The 16795-nt window shown below is 41.0% G+C and overlaps 2 pseudogenes; both read right to left on the bottom strand.

Annotated features, from left to right (window-relative positions):
- Positions 5295-5798, bottom strand: CEP164P1 (centrosomal protein 164 pseudogene 1; annotated as a pseudogene).
- On the bottom strand, positions 7636-8085 carry RPS19P7 (ribosomal protein S19 pseudogene 7; annotated as a pseudogene).

Here is a 16795-nt window from a genome sequence, read left to right on the forward strand (position 1 = left end):
AAAAATCTATGGTTTCGAGTGTGTATAAATCAGTGGAAATCAGGGAGAAACCTCACCTCATGCTCAGGTCAGTCCTGGAAGGTAAACAAGTGTTCTCATCTGACAGAATACAAAGGATCCGAAACCAGCCTGGCAGTCAGCATCTGGTAGACATTGGTCAGGAATTGAGTTATTGCTTCTCAAGAAGAAAAGTTGCTTGGCCATATTGCTCACTTAAAAGCTGTTTTTGTTTTTGTTTTTTCCAAGACAGGGTCTCACTCTGTCGCCCAGGCTGGAGTGCAGTGGTGCAATCATAGCTCACTGTTGTCTCCAAATCCTAGGCTCAAGCAATCCCCCTCCCTCAGTCTCCTGAGGTGCTGGGACTACAAGTGCACGCCACCAGGTCCTGCTAATTTTTAAATGTTTTTGTAGAGACTGGGTCTTGCTATGTTGCCCAGGCTGGTCTTGAATTCCTGGCCTCTAGCTATTCTCCCACCTTGGCCTCTCAGAAGTGTTGGGATTACAGGTGTGAGCCACTATGTCCAGCTGAGAGCTGTGTTTTCTCATTTCTAGACTGCCTTGCATTTGTGCACCTTCCCTCTTTCTTATTATTAATCTGTCACCTGGTGATTATTCTTGCGTTGAAATTCAGTCCCGCCAAATTTCCAAAGCCCTGCCAACCTCAAGCAGAGACTAGAAGGGGTAACTGGGCCCTGTTACTTTACCTTTTTATCCATTTCCCTTTTAGTAGAGAGGTATTTAAGTCTCAAACCTGAAATTTGGGAAGAAAAAAATATTAATTAACTATAATTATCACTTTCCAGTCACTTTACAAATCCTATTTCTTTTCTCTGTCATTCATTCATAAAAATAAGTGGCTCACTTTTAAAATTCATTTGTCTTAGTTAGCAGCTTTATTCAGGAATTTGAAGGAGGGTTCTTAAAGAAGTGAGAAATGGCACATCAAAATTTCAGTTATTTTCCCATGCTTGCTGTGCAACTGTAGGTGACTGGTGATTCTTCAGTAAAGGGGAAGATACAACTTATGAAGGCTGCTGCGGTCTTCTTAGCAGCTATTGGGAGGGAAGTGTATGTCGTAAGTCTTAGCTATAATACTCATCTGTATATCTACATGATTATAATTAAGTAGCACATATTATACTAAATGATTACCAAAAGGAACATAAAATTGATTTCTGCTGATTTTTTAAAAAAGTAAACTCAAACGAAGTACATTCTATCTGAAAAGTACTGAATCATTTCATGTGAGGATTTTTGTTTTAATTCCCTGATAAGGCAAAATTACAAAGTAGGTTAGCTATATACTTCTCACATCTTCTTTAGGAGCCTTTGTCTTAGTTCGTTTTCTGTTGCTATAACAGAATGCCATAGACTGGGTTATTTATAAAGAAAATAAATTTAGTTCCGGAGGCTGGGTAGTCCGGGAGCATGGCACTGGCATCTGATGAGGACCTTCTTGCTGTATCCTAACATAGTGGAAGGGCAAATGAGCCAATGAGACAGAGAAAGGCTCCAGGAGCTGGGCTCACTTTATAACAACCCACTCTTGCAATAAAAAACCCATTCCCATGATAGTGACATTGGTTCATTCATGAGGGCTCTGTCCTCATGACCCAGTCACCTCTTATTAGAACCCACCTCCCAATACTGCTACATTGAGGATTAAGTTTCTAACACAAGTTTCTAACTTTTAGGAAACACATTCACACCTTAGCAGCTCTGCTTGTCAATGCTGAAATTTATTTTCTGTGCTGAGTGCTCTAATTCTGCCTAAATCCATCTGGACAGATAAATGATTCATTAATTATTTCAACAAATAGTTGGATGCATATTCTGAGCCAGGTGATCTGATAAACCAGTTCACCCAGAAGTGAATAGCAGTAACAAGTAATCTCTCTGAGGGCTATTTGATTTTTTTGGTTTTGTGTTTTGATTTTGTTTTTCTTATTTTAAAATTAAAATTAAAATTTTTATGGATACATAGTAGATATATATATTTATGTAGTACATGAGGTATTTTGATACAGGCATACAATGTGTAATAATCACACTAGGGTAAATGGGGTATTCTTCACCTCAAGCATTTATCATTTCTTTGTGTTACGAACATTCCAATTATACTCTTTTGTTTATTTTAAAATGTACAGTAAATTATTGTTGATTGTAAGCACCCTGTTGTGCTATCAAATACTAGATCTTATTAATTCCATCTAACTATATTTTTGTCCCCATTAACCATCCTCACTCCCCCACCCCCACTCCACTACCCTTCATACCTCTGGTAACCATCGTTCTACTTTCTATCTCTGTGAATTCAATTGTCTTAATTTTTAGCTTCCACAAATTAGGGATAACATGTGGAGTTTGACTATCTGTGTTTGGCTTATTTCACTTAATGTAATGTCCTCTAGTTCCATCCATGTTGTTGCAAATGACAGGATCTCATTTTTTTATGGCTTTTTATTCTTTTTTATAGTACTGCATTGTCATTATGTACCACATTTTCTTTATCCATTCATCTGTTGATGGACACTTAGGCTGCTTCCAAATTTTGGCTATTGTGGAGAGTTCTGCAGTAAACATGGGTGTACATATATCTCTTCAATATACTAATTTCTTTTGGATATATACCAGCAGTGGGATTGCTGGATCTTATGTTAGTTCTATTTTTAGTTTTTAGAGGAAGCTCCGAACTGTTCTCCTAAGTGGCTATACTAATTTACATTCCCACCAGCAGTGTATGAGGGTTCCCTTTTCTCCGCGCCCTTGACAGCATTTGTTACTGCCTATCTTTTGGATAAAAGCCATTTTAACTGGGATGAGATGATATCTCATTGCATTTTGATTTGCATTTCTCTGATGATCAATGATGTTGAGCAACTTTTCATATGCCTGTTTACCATCTGTATGTCTTCTTTTGAGAAATGCCTATTCAGATGCTTTGCCCACTTTTAATGGGATTATTAGATATTTTTTCTGTTGAGTTGTTTGAGCTCCTTATATATTTTGGTTATTAATCTTTTGTAAAATGGATACTTTGCAAATATTCTCTCCCATTCTGAGGGTTGTCTCTTCAGTTTGTTGACTGTTTCCTTTGCTGTGCAGAAGCTTTTTAACTTGATGTAATCTCATTTATCCATGTTTGCTTTGGTTACCTGTGCTTTTGAGTTATTACTCAATACATCTTTGCCTAGACCAATGTCCTGGAGAGTTCCCCCAATGTTTTCTTTTAGTAGTTTCATAGTTTGAGGTCATGGATTTAAGTCTTTAATTTATTTTGATTTGATTTTTGCATATAGTGGGAGATAGGGGTTTTAGTTTCATTCTTCTGCATATAGATATTGAGTTTTTCCAGCACCATTTATTGAAGAGACTGTTGTTTCCCCAATGTATGTTCTTGCTGATGTCTCCACACTTAAAACAAAAGATCAGTTTCTCAGAAATTATATACTTGGTTTATCTTCCACTTTCCCTCAGAACTAAAAGTCTTTTAGCACAGGTACCACCCCTAAAATTTCCAGTAAACCAGCACCAGCCAGAGGATCACGTTCTCATCAAAGGGTGGAAAGAAGGGAAACTCAAGCCAGACTGGGAAGGACCCTACCTTGTGCTGCTAACCACGGAGACTGCTGTTCGCACAGCGGAAAGGGAATGTACACATTACACCCGAGTCAAGAAAGCACCATTATCATCAGAATCATGGGCCATTGTTCCTGGATCAAGCCCTACCAAATTAAAGCTAAGAAAAGCTTAGTCTATCTATCTTTTCCTTTTCTTTCCTAACCCAGTGCCTGTATCCATTACTATTCCTACCACTAGCAACTCTAACCCCACTTTAGAGCGTTTCTATGGTTTAGGAGCAAAGGTCACTGGAAAGGATCCTATAGGCTTCTTTAAGATGCGCTTTGTTCTCCTTTCTCCACCTCCTACAACTGCCCCTTTCTCAAACCTACAAAATCAAACTATGCCTCGCCTCATGCCCAATGGCGAAACCAAGGTCTCAGTAGTACAAATAGGAGACCTAAGGCAAACCATAGCCATTAAAACAGGGTATAAAGATGTAAATGCCTGGTTAGAATGGATTAAATATTCCATTTGCACTTTAAACAACAGTGACTATTACACTTGTGCGCATGGTAGGCCAGAGGCCCAGGTTGTTCCCTTTCCACTAGGATGGTCCTCAAATCCAGCGGACATGGAGTGCACGGTAGCTTTCTTTCAAGATTCCACTGCCTGGAATAAAAAATTGTGCCAAGCTCTTTCTCTGCTATTTCCTGAAGTTCAACACCCTGCGGGTCAGCCCCCGAGGGCCATCCAGGCTCCATCTTCCAAGACCAATTTTACCTCATGTCTCCAACAACAAGAGGAAAATTTTCACGTTCCTTGGAGACTTAACAGCATGCAGTGAAGTCAGGCACTTCCAAGAGTTGACCCATCAGTCTGCCCTTATTCATCCCTGATTGGATGTGTGGTTGTATTATGGAGGACCTTCACTGGAAACTCTGCCAAATAATTAGAGCAGTACTTATGCTCTAATTCAATTGGCTATCCCTTTTACCCTGGCATTTCATCAACCAGAAAAAGAAGAAAAAGAAAAAAAAACACATAGCCTCAATTCTTACCTCTTTAACAACTATAATAAGTATACTCCTTCTTCTTAGGTGTTATGTTGTACCATACATCCAGGAGTTAATCAAAACAACTAAGTCAAGACTTGCTAAGCAAGTTTGAAACTATAAAGAGGAGGGAATTGTAGAAAGTAAAAAGTTTCCTCTTCAAAGTTTCCCTTCTTGTTAAATAATAAATCATAAGTGTTAGAAATAATAGTTTCTTTTAAAGACTAACTTTCTTCAAGCCTCCTTGCTTTGTTAAACCCTATTCTGTGTAACTGTTGGACATGCTCACAGGCACATTCCAGCTCACAGCCTATGCCCCTTCTTCATTTGGAAATGTTATTGCTTCCTTAAACTTTTCGTAAGCAACTTCTTTGTTCGTCCCTGCACTTACCTATTTAGGAAGTTTTAGGCTATTAGCAAATTGGGTATCAGTTTAAGAGTGTGAGGTTCCGCTCCAGCCAATGGATGCAGGACACAGCAGTAAGGACAACCCAAATGTGTAAGGGATAAATATGTCTGCTTTTCCTTTGTTCAGGTGTGCTTTCACCATTGGTCCATCTGCGATTGAGCAACCTTTCTGCAGAAAGTAAAGATTGCCTTGCTGAGAGATCTTTTGTCTCTGTGCTGACTTTTCTTCACAGCACTGATGATCAATTTCTAACAATTTTGGTATTTCTAACAAGACCTCTTAAAGGAGCCAGGCGCCAAGAGGAACATGAACTGGGGCTAACGAGGAACCCAGGGCCAGGGGACTTTTGGGGGTCTTTTTTGTCCTCCTTGTCTTTCTTTTCCTTTTTCTTCTTCTTCTTAATGACCCCAGAGTTGACAGCTTTGCCCACTCTCAGATCACCAGGTTCTGATAGTGTTTGTCATGTGGATGGTCCCATATAGACTGCCTGTTGGCAAAGTTGAAAAAATATTTGTCACCCCCCATGTCCTGGCATAGTTTCCACTCCCCAGGCAGTGGGGCCACAATGCCCTCCCATGCCAGCCACATCAGTTCTGTTTCCTTGATGGGATCAATACCAATCTCCAGGGCAAATTCAAGAATTTCTTCCTCACTTAAAATGTAGGTCTCATTATAATCCTCCTCCAGAACTAGCTGATCTCCTATGCAGAGGGGTGGGAGGGGTTGGTGAGGTCATCTAGCTATGACTCACCTGGGCTCGAACACTGGCTGTATGACCTTAGGCAAGGTGCTTCACCTCTCTCAGCCTCAATAACTGCAAGTGTATAATTGAAACAATCTTGACAATCTATGTCAAAAGCCCGCCAGACCCCCAGTCTGCTCAGGAGCCGGCGAAATTTCAAATGGGGGTACTGTTGAGGCACCGTTGCAGGCTGTGTTTTTCACTTCTTCCCTCAGTCCACGCCCACACTCTGGCACATTGTGTGCTGATTGGCTCACAAGCTTCCCTAAGCTACCCCGCCACTCTCCCTTCTCCACCGCCCAACCCCTACCTCGATGAGGTCCTCACCTATCCACCACCCCAGAAGGCTCTGGGTGAGGCTCCGGGCGAGGCACAGCGCCCCCAGTGCCACCCAACAGGCTCTTGCTCTGTTGCCCAGGCTGGAATGCAGTGATGTCATCACAGTCACAATAACTTTGAACTCCTGGGTTTCAGCGATCCTCCCGCTCCAGCCTCCTAGGTAGCTGAGAGTGTAGGCACAAGCCACCACACCCAGCTAATTTGTTTTTTTTTTTTTTTTTTTTGAGACTGAGTCTCGCTCTCTCGCCAAGCTGGAGTGCAGTGGCAGATGTCAGCTCACTGCAGCCTCTGCCTCCCAGGTTCAAGTGATTCTCCTGCCTCAGCCCCTCGAGTAGATGGGATTACAGGCACCTGCCACCACACCCAGTTACTTTTTTTTTTCTTTTTCTTTTTCCTTTTTTTTTTTTTTTTGAGACAGAGTCTCACTCTGTTGCTTGACTGGAGTGCATTGGCATGATCTCGGCTCACTGCAACCTCTGCTTCCCGGGTTCAAGCGATTCTCCTGCCTCAGCCTCCTGAGTAGCTGGGATTACAGGCGCATGCCACCACGCCCAGCTAATTTTTGTATTTTTTTTAGTATAGACGGGTTTTCACCATGTTGGCCAGGATGGTCTTGATCTCTTGACCTCGTGATCCGCCTGCCTTGGCCTTCCAAAGTGCTGGGATTACAGGCGTGAGCCACCGCGGCCGGCCATTTTTGTTGTTGTTGTTGTTGTTGTTGTTGTTGTTGTTGAGACAGTCTCATTCTGTTGCCCAAGCTGGAGTACGGTAGTGCCATCCCCGCTCACTGCAGCCTTTGCCTCATGGGTTCAAGTGATTCTCCTCCCTCAGCCTCCCAAGTAGCTGGGATTACAGGCACCTGCCACCACACCCAGCTAATTTTTTTTTTTTTTTTTTTTTTTTTTTTTTTGAGACAGAGTCCTGCTTTGTCATCAGGCTGGAGTGCAGTGGCGTGATCTTGGCTCACTGCAACCTCTGCCTCCCGGGTTCAAGTGATTCTCCTGCCTCAGCCTCCTGAGTAGGTGGGATTACAGTCACACGCCACCACGCCTAGCTAATTTTTGTATTTTTTTTTTAGTAGAGACAGGGTTTCACCCTGTTGGCCAGGATGGTCTTGGTCTCCTGACTTTATGATCCGCCCGCCTTGGCCCCCCAATGTGCTGGGATTACAGGCATGAGCCACTGCACCCGGTTTTTTTTTTTTTAGACAGAGTCTCACACTGTTGCCCAGGCTGGAGTGCAGTGGTACCATCCCAGCTCACCACAGCCTCCGCCTCCTGGGTTCAAGTGATTCTCCTGCCTCAGCCTCCCAAGTAGCTGGGATTACAGGCACCTGCCACCATGCCCAGCTAATTTTGTATTTTTAGTAGAGACGGGGTTTCACCATGTCAGGCAGGCTGGTCTCAAACTCCTGACCTCAGGTCTCAAACTCCTGACCGAGGTGCCCATCTCGGCCTCCCAAAGTGCTGGGATTACAGGCGTGAGCCACCATGCTTGGTCACATCCAGCTAATTTTTTTTTTTTTTTTTGAATGAGGCAATTTATTAACCCAGCATGGTTTGTTCTAATGCTTCTTGTTGGCAGCTGCCATCTGTCCGGCAATTCTGTCCAGATCTCTCTCTCCCTGAGGTTTCAGTTTGCATCTTGGTCCTTTTCCACCATTTTCAGCCCCTCCAGGGCTTGCAGGACCTGGCGGGCCACACTCTTGGAGCCTTAGCTGAAGTGGCTGGGCATGACGCTGTTTCTCTGACGGCCCTTGTAGATCTTGGTCATAGAGCCAACCCCAGCACCACCCAAGAGGTACAGGTGCCGCGCTGTAGAAGCAGCTCACGTGTAGAACCAGTTCTTATCGTAGGCAGCAAGCTCTCTGTGCTTGGCCGGCTTGATGGTGTCCACCCATTCGGTGACTTTCAGCTTCCCAGACTTTTTGAGAAAGGCTGCCAGAGCTCTGATGAACTCCTGCTGGTTCACGTCTTTTATACCCAGCTAATTTTTAAAAAAATGTTTGTAGACATGAGGTTTTCCTATGTTGCCCAGGCAGTTCTCAAATTCCTGGCCTCAAGTGATTCTCCTGCCTTGGCGTCCCAGAGTGCTGAGATTATAAGTGTGAGCCACCATGCCTGGCCAGTAATAATAATAATAACAACAATTATTATTATTATTTGAGAAGGAGTCTTGCTTTGTTAGCCAGGCTGGAGTGCAGTGGCATGATCTCAGCTCACTGCAACCTCCACCTCCCTGGTTCAAGCGATTCTTCTGCCAATTTTTGTATTTTTAGTAGAGATGAGGTTTCACCATATTGACCAGGCTGGTCTCGAGCTCCTGACCTCAGGTGATCCAGCCGCCTTGGCCTCCCAAAGTGCTGAAATTACAGATGTGAGCCACCACACCTGGCCCTAGTAATTATTTTATGGAATTATTTCCTAGCCTAGACTAAATGGCAGAAACTCTCATTTATTTTTTCTTAATAGGACATTCCTTGGCACCTAATAGGTAATCAGTATTTGTTGATTGGATGAATGGTTGTGACTGTTATCAGCAACCGGTGATACTGACTTTAAAATTATAAAACACACCCAACACGCATGTACATTCTCATGCTCCTCCATATCTGTAATCAAAATATTGACAATCCCCAGACACTGTATTCCTTATTTACTTCTTTCAGAAGTGGCTATGGAAGGCAACTTCAGGAGATTCCTGTGGGTCTTTGCTCCTCCTTCCTTACCCTGGAAAGAGTAGAGAATGAAATAAGGCCACTAAATGCTGGTCAGGGGGAAAATAAGCTGCTGTTTTGCAGATGCATGTAGATGAAGCTGTTGACCTGCAGTTTGAAGGATACTTATTTTCTGTTTTTTCTTGTAGTGTGCAGTCTTCCATATCTGTATATTGGCGAGGGTTTTCCTGGATTTTTCTCAGATATTTCTGAGTTTTGTGTTTTGTGCTTCTGGAGTATTAGAAATGGAGCACATCCTGTTTGATGAAGGCCAGTTATGGTATAATGCAAGCAAGTGGAGATACAGATATTACATCAAGTTCAGATAACTGAGATGAGTGACAGAGTAAAGACACCCTTGATTAAGCTTTCTCCACAAAAGTGTAACTCTTTGTTAAAATATTATAACCATCAGCTCATCCTTAATGAAGTACAGTTACACAGTTACTCGCTTATGGTGAAGACACCATGATTTAAAGAAATGCATCTATTCTGTCTTCTTAAATCTACAGTTTTCTAAAGGCCTACTCACTTTGTTTCCCCAGGAATTTATTTTCTGCACCATACTTCTCTCCTTCTGGCCAGAAGCAATTTGTAATCCTGGTTCTCTGACTTGACCCTGGGCAGCCTTCACTGAGAAGCCTTGGACTTTGACGTTCTTGGAGGTGGATCTAAGTTTGGGTTAAATCGTTCCGTCTGTATACTATAAAGATGACAACAATGGCAACGATAATAAAACGCCCAAAATACCTCCATAACTTTTTGTTTCAGGTACATAAGAAAAGTGTAGAAACTTATTGCCTCAACCTATTCTTTTCTCCCTACAGTCATAACACGTTTAAATGTTTTACGTTATCTTTCTAGGGGAAATCTAATCTCCCACTGCAATTTTTCTCACTGTTTATTTACATTTTTCAATACACACACACGTACATATGCATATACACACATATACACATATCACCACCACACAATAATAACAGAAATTCAATCTTTCCTGGCATTTTAAAGCTTTTAGTGTCCACATGACTTTTCAAGGTAGGAAGCATCTCTGAGAGGGAGAGAAACGGCTCTGGGACCAACTTCTGCTCCTGCCTATCAGCACCTTATCAGATACAGGCAGATTTTCTGAAATCTACAAAGTCAGCTTCCGTAGACTCCTAGTTCTTCTCTTCTGGTGACACCTTATTAGTTTAAGTCACTTCCACATTTTCTACATAAACATTCCCAGTGTTTGTGAAAAGTACAATTTTAAAAGCAAGCAGAGAAAGAAAAGTTCCACATCGCTGTCTCTAAAGAGGATGAGAGAATAGAAGAACATGAGCTTATAATCGTATGATTTAGACCCTTGACAAGCCCAAGTGAGTACTTCAAGGCACTGGCAGGCAGGGGCAACATGCTGATTAAACATGCTGCACTGAAGTCAGAGTTCTGCATAAATACTATTCTGTGTCACTGTTGATTTTCTCCTTTAGCACAACCGAAAATAAGTTGCTCTCACTGTGTCCATCATCTCACCTTGAATGGAATTTCCTTAGTGTACAGAATATCAGAAGTGGGACTGCCTTGCCCCTGCAAAATGGCGAAGTAGATAAAGTTTATTTTTGCTGCCATCTTACCTTCCCTCTGCTTGTACCCCAATTTCCTGGAGTTGTTCCTCAGGCTCTATCCCGTGTCCAATTCCCAAGGGCCTCCTTGCTGTCAGTTAATAATAGCTTTCAATGCTATTATTCTTCTCGGAGTTTTTGCATTTTAATAGGACCCCCAGGGATTAAAATGCCTCCAGAACCAGAAGACTGAATCTCTAATGGTGTAATTTTAGGTACCAGTGACAGGCATTGTGGGAGATTTCATGGGGAGGATTCTCTCAGAAGACAAACACCTCCCCCGACAGCTTTCGACTTGACTGACTTGGTATGGTTGACCCTACAAAGGAGTACAGGAATGTGAATTAATCAGCCATGAAATACTGAACGTTATTGCAAAGATAACCTTCAGCTTTGCTAATTATACTTTAATGTTTTAATCAACATTTCAGTAAATGAGTATGTGGTAATATTGGAGGTGTTTCCTGGCTGGGAAAATTATGCGGTATCTTAGAGAAAGTTCTCTGGAGTGACAGTGGAGTAGGGGTTGGAGTGGAGTTTTTGGGATGGAAATGCTTAGTAATCTGTGTTCCAGGTCTTAGCCCATTACTGAAGGAAGCAATCACATTGACACAGAAGAGAATCACCCGATTAACTCTTAGGTACAGGTGTGAAATAATAATAAACCCCATACTGAACTGTTGTTTTAGTATACGTTTTCCACATGGACAAAAAAAAAAAAAGAAGAAGAAGAAGCTGGGATATTCTTCTCACCATTGTTCAGCACAAGAGGGTGTCAGATTCCTGCACTTTATCTGGACTTCTCTATCGTTCTTTTTTTCTCCTGCTAAGTAAACAGTGGAGATTCATCCATTATTCAGCTATCAGAGACTCAGGATTTTCTGGTTGTGGAACTTGGGAATTCTTACACTTCTTTAAAACTGTGGAAAAATGTATTTCCAAAACTGCTGGAAAGGGAAATGGAGATATCAACCCCTACAATGTAATTAATCCTTGTGAGCTTCTCCCCCAGAGGGCTAACTTGAGTTTTTCTGTAGTGATGGGAATTTAGTTTTGTTTGTTTCTTTTTTTTTTTTTTTTTTTTGGTTGTCATTATTCACACTTAACTACGTGTGGCAAGTACTGTGGAGGAGAGAGATTGTTGTAAACAGGTTTGGGGGAGCACAGGAAGGAAGGGCTTTGAAACCATGCCCCGTGAGAAAATGCATAGAGCTGCTGCGCACCACTCTACCTTAAAGCTGGTAAACACACAGCCCTCCCCACAAGCCAAATGTTACGAATTCTATTTTTATAGCTCTTGGAAGGCTTTCTGCAATCTTTTCCACGTTGAATGCTGCAGTTAAAAGATAACTTTAGGAGAGATTTTCCAGATCAAAAGTCGCAGTTATAAGAATATTGAAAACAATGTAAAATCTTGTGCATGCAAATATTCATTTTATTGCTTTCAACTTTTGAATCAAGGAGGCACAGCAAATGACCCCTTTAAGCAGGGGAGTCATTACACCCTCACATTTTCTGAAAGATTTCTTGTGGGTCAATTGCAAAGCACTATTGGAGTATAATAGTGCAAGGCACTATTGGAGTATTTACTATTTTGTAAATTGCAAAGCACTATTGGAGTGTGCCTTCATTAGAATATGGAAAAGTTATTCTTGTGAATTTAATCATAATCTGCATCAATTTGAGTAATACATTATTAAATGCAGTAGAGAGTGCTCAGAATAGAAAATGGTGGATTATTTTGAGCCTGCATTGGTGAACAAAGAAAAGGAAGCTTACTCCTTTCCTCTGTTTTTTAATTCTTTGATAAAGTGATTACTGTTAAGAGTAGTGGATTGCTATAAACTTGATGTAATCATGATTTAATAAATCATTTGAAAAATTCTCTCATGGTAGCATGTGAGTGTTCAAGTGGAAATAATGACAATAATGACAGCTGACACCCAGGAAGCATTTGTTATATGTAGGGAGAAATGTCAAAAGAAGAAATCTAGTTAGAAAGATCCATAGCTTGTGAACAACCATATATCGAAAGTCACCAATATTATCCCAAAGAGCAGAGGTTCTCAGGGGAATGTTACAGGGCTTCATATCTTTCAAAATATTTATTAATGACTGCATGAAGACAAAGAAGACACTTGTGGAAACCCAGGTGGAATAGCCACCAAGATTGATGAAACTACCAACATTTAATGTAGAATCCAATGAAAACAAATATCTGAGCACTCACAATTTAGATCCTCGGGAGTGGGTACATATCATATTGGGGATTCTACAATTTTAACTGGGAGATCCACGCATAAACAACTAAAATAAGACGCAATTAACAAGATGCACATTTAAGCCTGCATTTGAATCCCTGTTCTAACACTAATTCGTACAATCTTGAGCTAGTTACACTTAGTCTCTAAAATTCTCAATGTTCTTATCTAGAAAATGGGATAATATTAGTACCTAGAATAGAACTTGATAGGATAGGACATGTCAAATAATTAGCATAGTAGCACCCAATACCTTTTAGCTATTATTACTGTCATCATAGTTGTTATTAAGAATAATAAATATGGATAATAAACACGGCCAGCATGGTGGCTTATGCCTGCAGTCTAGCACTTTGGGAGTCCAAGTGAGAAGGATTGCTTGAGGTCAGGAATTCGATACCAGCCTGGGCAACGTAGTGAGACTCTGTCTCTAAAATAATAACAATAATAAATACTATAGTAGAGTTATCTAGTCTTTGTAGGAAACTGCACATTTAATCAAGATAATCATGAATTTTAACATTTAAACAATCAGTTGTGCAAGAAAGGATTGGGAAATTTTGGCTTAACAAATGTGCGTGTGAAACAGAGTGAAGGTTTTTGTTAAAAATCAAGCTTTGCTTTAATCAGTGGTGTGAATGAGCTATTGAAAAAGATAATGGCTAAATGGATAAAAGCATATTGCCCAGGTTGGCAAAGTTGAGAATGCCTTAGTATTCTAAAATAGTCAGATCCTATATGAAGGACCGGGCCCAGTTCTGAATAGCTGACTCTTTGAGCTGGACGCGTTAGAGATGCCTCTAGAGTCTTGAGGGAGGTGATAAAGGATACGGTTAAGGGCACAGAAAAAAGCTTCGGAAGGGACTGGGTAACTGCTTTCAATGGGTTTTCAGGCATCTCAGTGATCACACACATCAATTTTATTTATTTATGTATTTATTTATTTTTTGAGACAGAGTCTCACTCTGTCACCCAGACTGGAGTGCAGTGGCTCCCTCATGGCTCACTGTAGCTTTGACCCCCCAGGCAGGCTCAAGCAGTCCTCCCACCTCAGCCTCCCAAGTAGCTGGGATTACAGGCATGTGCCACCACACCCAGCTAATTTTTTTTGTATCTTTAGGAGAGATGGGGTTTCACCATGTTGGCCAGGCTGGTCTTGAACTCCTGACCTTGTGATCTTGTTTCTTTTTTATAGAGGTGGGCTCTTACCATGTTGCCCAGGCTAGTCTTGAACTTCTGAGCTCAAGCAATTCTCCTGCCTTGGCATCCCAAAGTGCTGGAACACTCGTTGATTTTAATTTATAAAGGTGACTGAGCAGCTAATGTGATGGAAAGATTTTTGTTGCTTCTAATTCCCAAGAGGAAGGGCATGGCAGGCCACCCAGGGCCACATGGGGGAAGGCCAGTGTTGGACAGGAGGTGGAGAGGAGTGAGGAGAGAGATTGGGCCAGTCTTCATTGTGTTTTCTGTGGAACAGGTGTGGCAGGGCAGGGGAAACAGCTTAAGATTGGCTAGTTTGAATGACGCCAGTGGGTTTAGGGGCAGAGGGGCTGTCCCTAGTTGTCTGGTATCTGGTCCTGTGTTGATTTCGGACAGGGGAAGTATTGGCCTGGTATATGTTAGATACAGGAGGTAGTTGGAATATAGGCTTTGGATTGGCTGGTTTGTGTATGAAAAGCACTCACACAGACCAGTCATTTATCGTCTTAGGAATTAGCTAGCCCCGAGGAGGGGGTCAGTTTCTTTTACCCAACTAGATCCCCCAAGAGGTCAAAACATCATAAAATATAAAAACTAAAAACTATGATTAATACATCAGGGTACAAGCTGTAGCTCTAGGGGAAGAACCAGGAACTATGGGGAGAAGTCCTAGAGAGGCAGATTTTAGGGAAAAAGGAAAATAAATCTTTCTGTGAAACAGGGCTATTGGAAAGTGGAAAGAATGTCTTTGTGACACCAAGAATGCCTGAACTCAGATATATTCTGGGATGGCATAACCAGGTTGCTTTATGTCGTAGATGGGATTCCTTCAAGGACTGGGAGGTTGGAATAAGGTCCAACTCAAAGATTCCATTATTCGATGGCTGATGGCAGGCCTAGAAGGAAATCGGATGCCCATTGCTTCTCTTCATGTACTACTTCTTAACTTCTTGGGATTAGAACCAACTTAGAAAGATTAAAATTCAGCACCGGGAATAAATGACATTTTTATATATAGTTGTAATAACTGGGGCTCTGATGGGAAGGACTGGAAATCAGCCACTGGAAAAAAGAACCCCTATTTTAGTGCCAGTTAAGTGGGAGCCAAGTGGCCAGACGCCTACAGTAAAAACAATGGGCTGATCTTGAGTTCTCCTGAGAAACTACAAACTGTAAGGTTTTTATTGGCAAAGTCTTTCTATGAAGTCATTCTTCCACTAGAAATATATTGAGCTCTGGCTTGGCCCTGACCACTAGGGACTTTACTGTGTGTTAGGACCATTTTTTAAGAACCGGCCTTCTTTTTTTTTTTTTTTTAAATGGTTATCATTTTAAGTCTGTGCTTCCATTAAGTATTAAAAGATGCTAATGGATGGTAAGATTCTCAGTTTCCTCTTCTTAAACAGGAAGGAACTATACGAGAATTATCTAAAGGTTTCCTTCTGATTCTAAAATTCTTTGATTTTGTGACGATATTCTCTGTTGACTCTCAAAACTCTATTCCTTGAATTGACTCTACTTGCATGAACTACGCACTGTTGTTGACAGTATACTGTGTGCCTGTCTAGTGTTATTCTAGGCATTTCCATTTGTTATCAGATAGGTAGGGTTGCTCTTATTTTAGAGCCAAAGAAGCAGAGACTCATATTAGTAACTTGTCCAAAATCAAGGAGCTAACAAAGGGGAAGATTAGGGAAGACTAAGTCTCTCTAACTCTTCCTGTCCTATTGCAGAGTTCCATATTACAATGATGAGCGTCAGAAGCTGTCAGAAAATGATGTTGGGAATGCCATTCTTTGTTAGACAGTAAAGCCACTGCCTCTGGCTTGGAAGTATTGATCACTGCATCTGAGATTTGAGAATTGAAGGCGGTTAACTATGGTCCCACTTGCCCCTCTCTCCAGATGAGAGTTTGTTTTTTTCTGGTAAAGGTGTGGAGGGGAGAGAGACAAGAGAACAGACGCATTTAAAAATCATGGAAATATTTTGATGTTTCTTTCATTTACTTATTTCTTTTTGTCCCAAGTTTAATATCAGTTTCTGTTTGTTCCAATTCTACTTAAGGCAAGAAGAAAATTCCCTTTTACTTCTAAAATTCTGTTAATTTTTTCTTTGATATTTCTTTTAAAAATTTTTAAATAATTTTCATGGGTACATAGGTGTATATATTTGTGGGGTGCATGAGATATTTTGATACAGACATACGATGTGTAATAATCACATCAGGGTAAATGGGGTATCTGTCACCTCAAGTATCGATTATTTCTTTGTGTTGCAAATATTCCAGTTATGCTCTTCTGTTTTGATATGCAAAGACAGATACCTGCCTTGCTTTTAAAATCCATCTGCGCTCAGGATGCCTTTCAAATTGGTCATTTTAAGGTAATAAAGGCTGTTTGAGAATCCTGGACATTCAGTACTCACTTGGGGCACTTGAACTCTTATCCAGTCCTAGCAAACAGGCTATTTCCATCTGGATGGCCTCTAAATTCTCATGGGAAATATATCAGATTATTTTCTTTCTCAGATACAGGTTTCTGGATCTCCATTTATTTTTGTCAATCACATGGTCACCATAACTGAAAGCGTCATTTAACGTGTTATTGCTATGAAAAACCTCAACTTTATTTATTTTAAAATGAACACATCAACTATGTCAGGTACGGTGCTTTGTAATGCACAAAAAAATCAGGAGTGGGAGGTTCATTTATAAGTTTGTGACATTTAGGCTCAAGCATCTGTTGGGACTTTGAATTGTCTGGAAAATAGATACTAACCAATGAGACTAAACAGTTTGTGTGGCCATCTGTTCAGAATTAAAACATGGAGGAGGAAATTAGATTAATCATTCTACAATTTGGGGAATTCAGTATGAAGATCTGCTTTTACTGTGAATGCCTCTATT

This window comes from Homo sapiens, chromosome 10, assembly GCF_000001405.40.
Source record: "Homo sapiens chromosome 10, GRCh38.p14 Primary Assembly".
Lineage (NCBI taxonomy): Eukaryota > Metazoa > Chordata > Mammalia > Primates > Hominidae > Homo > Homo sapiens.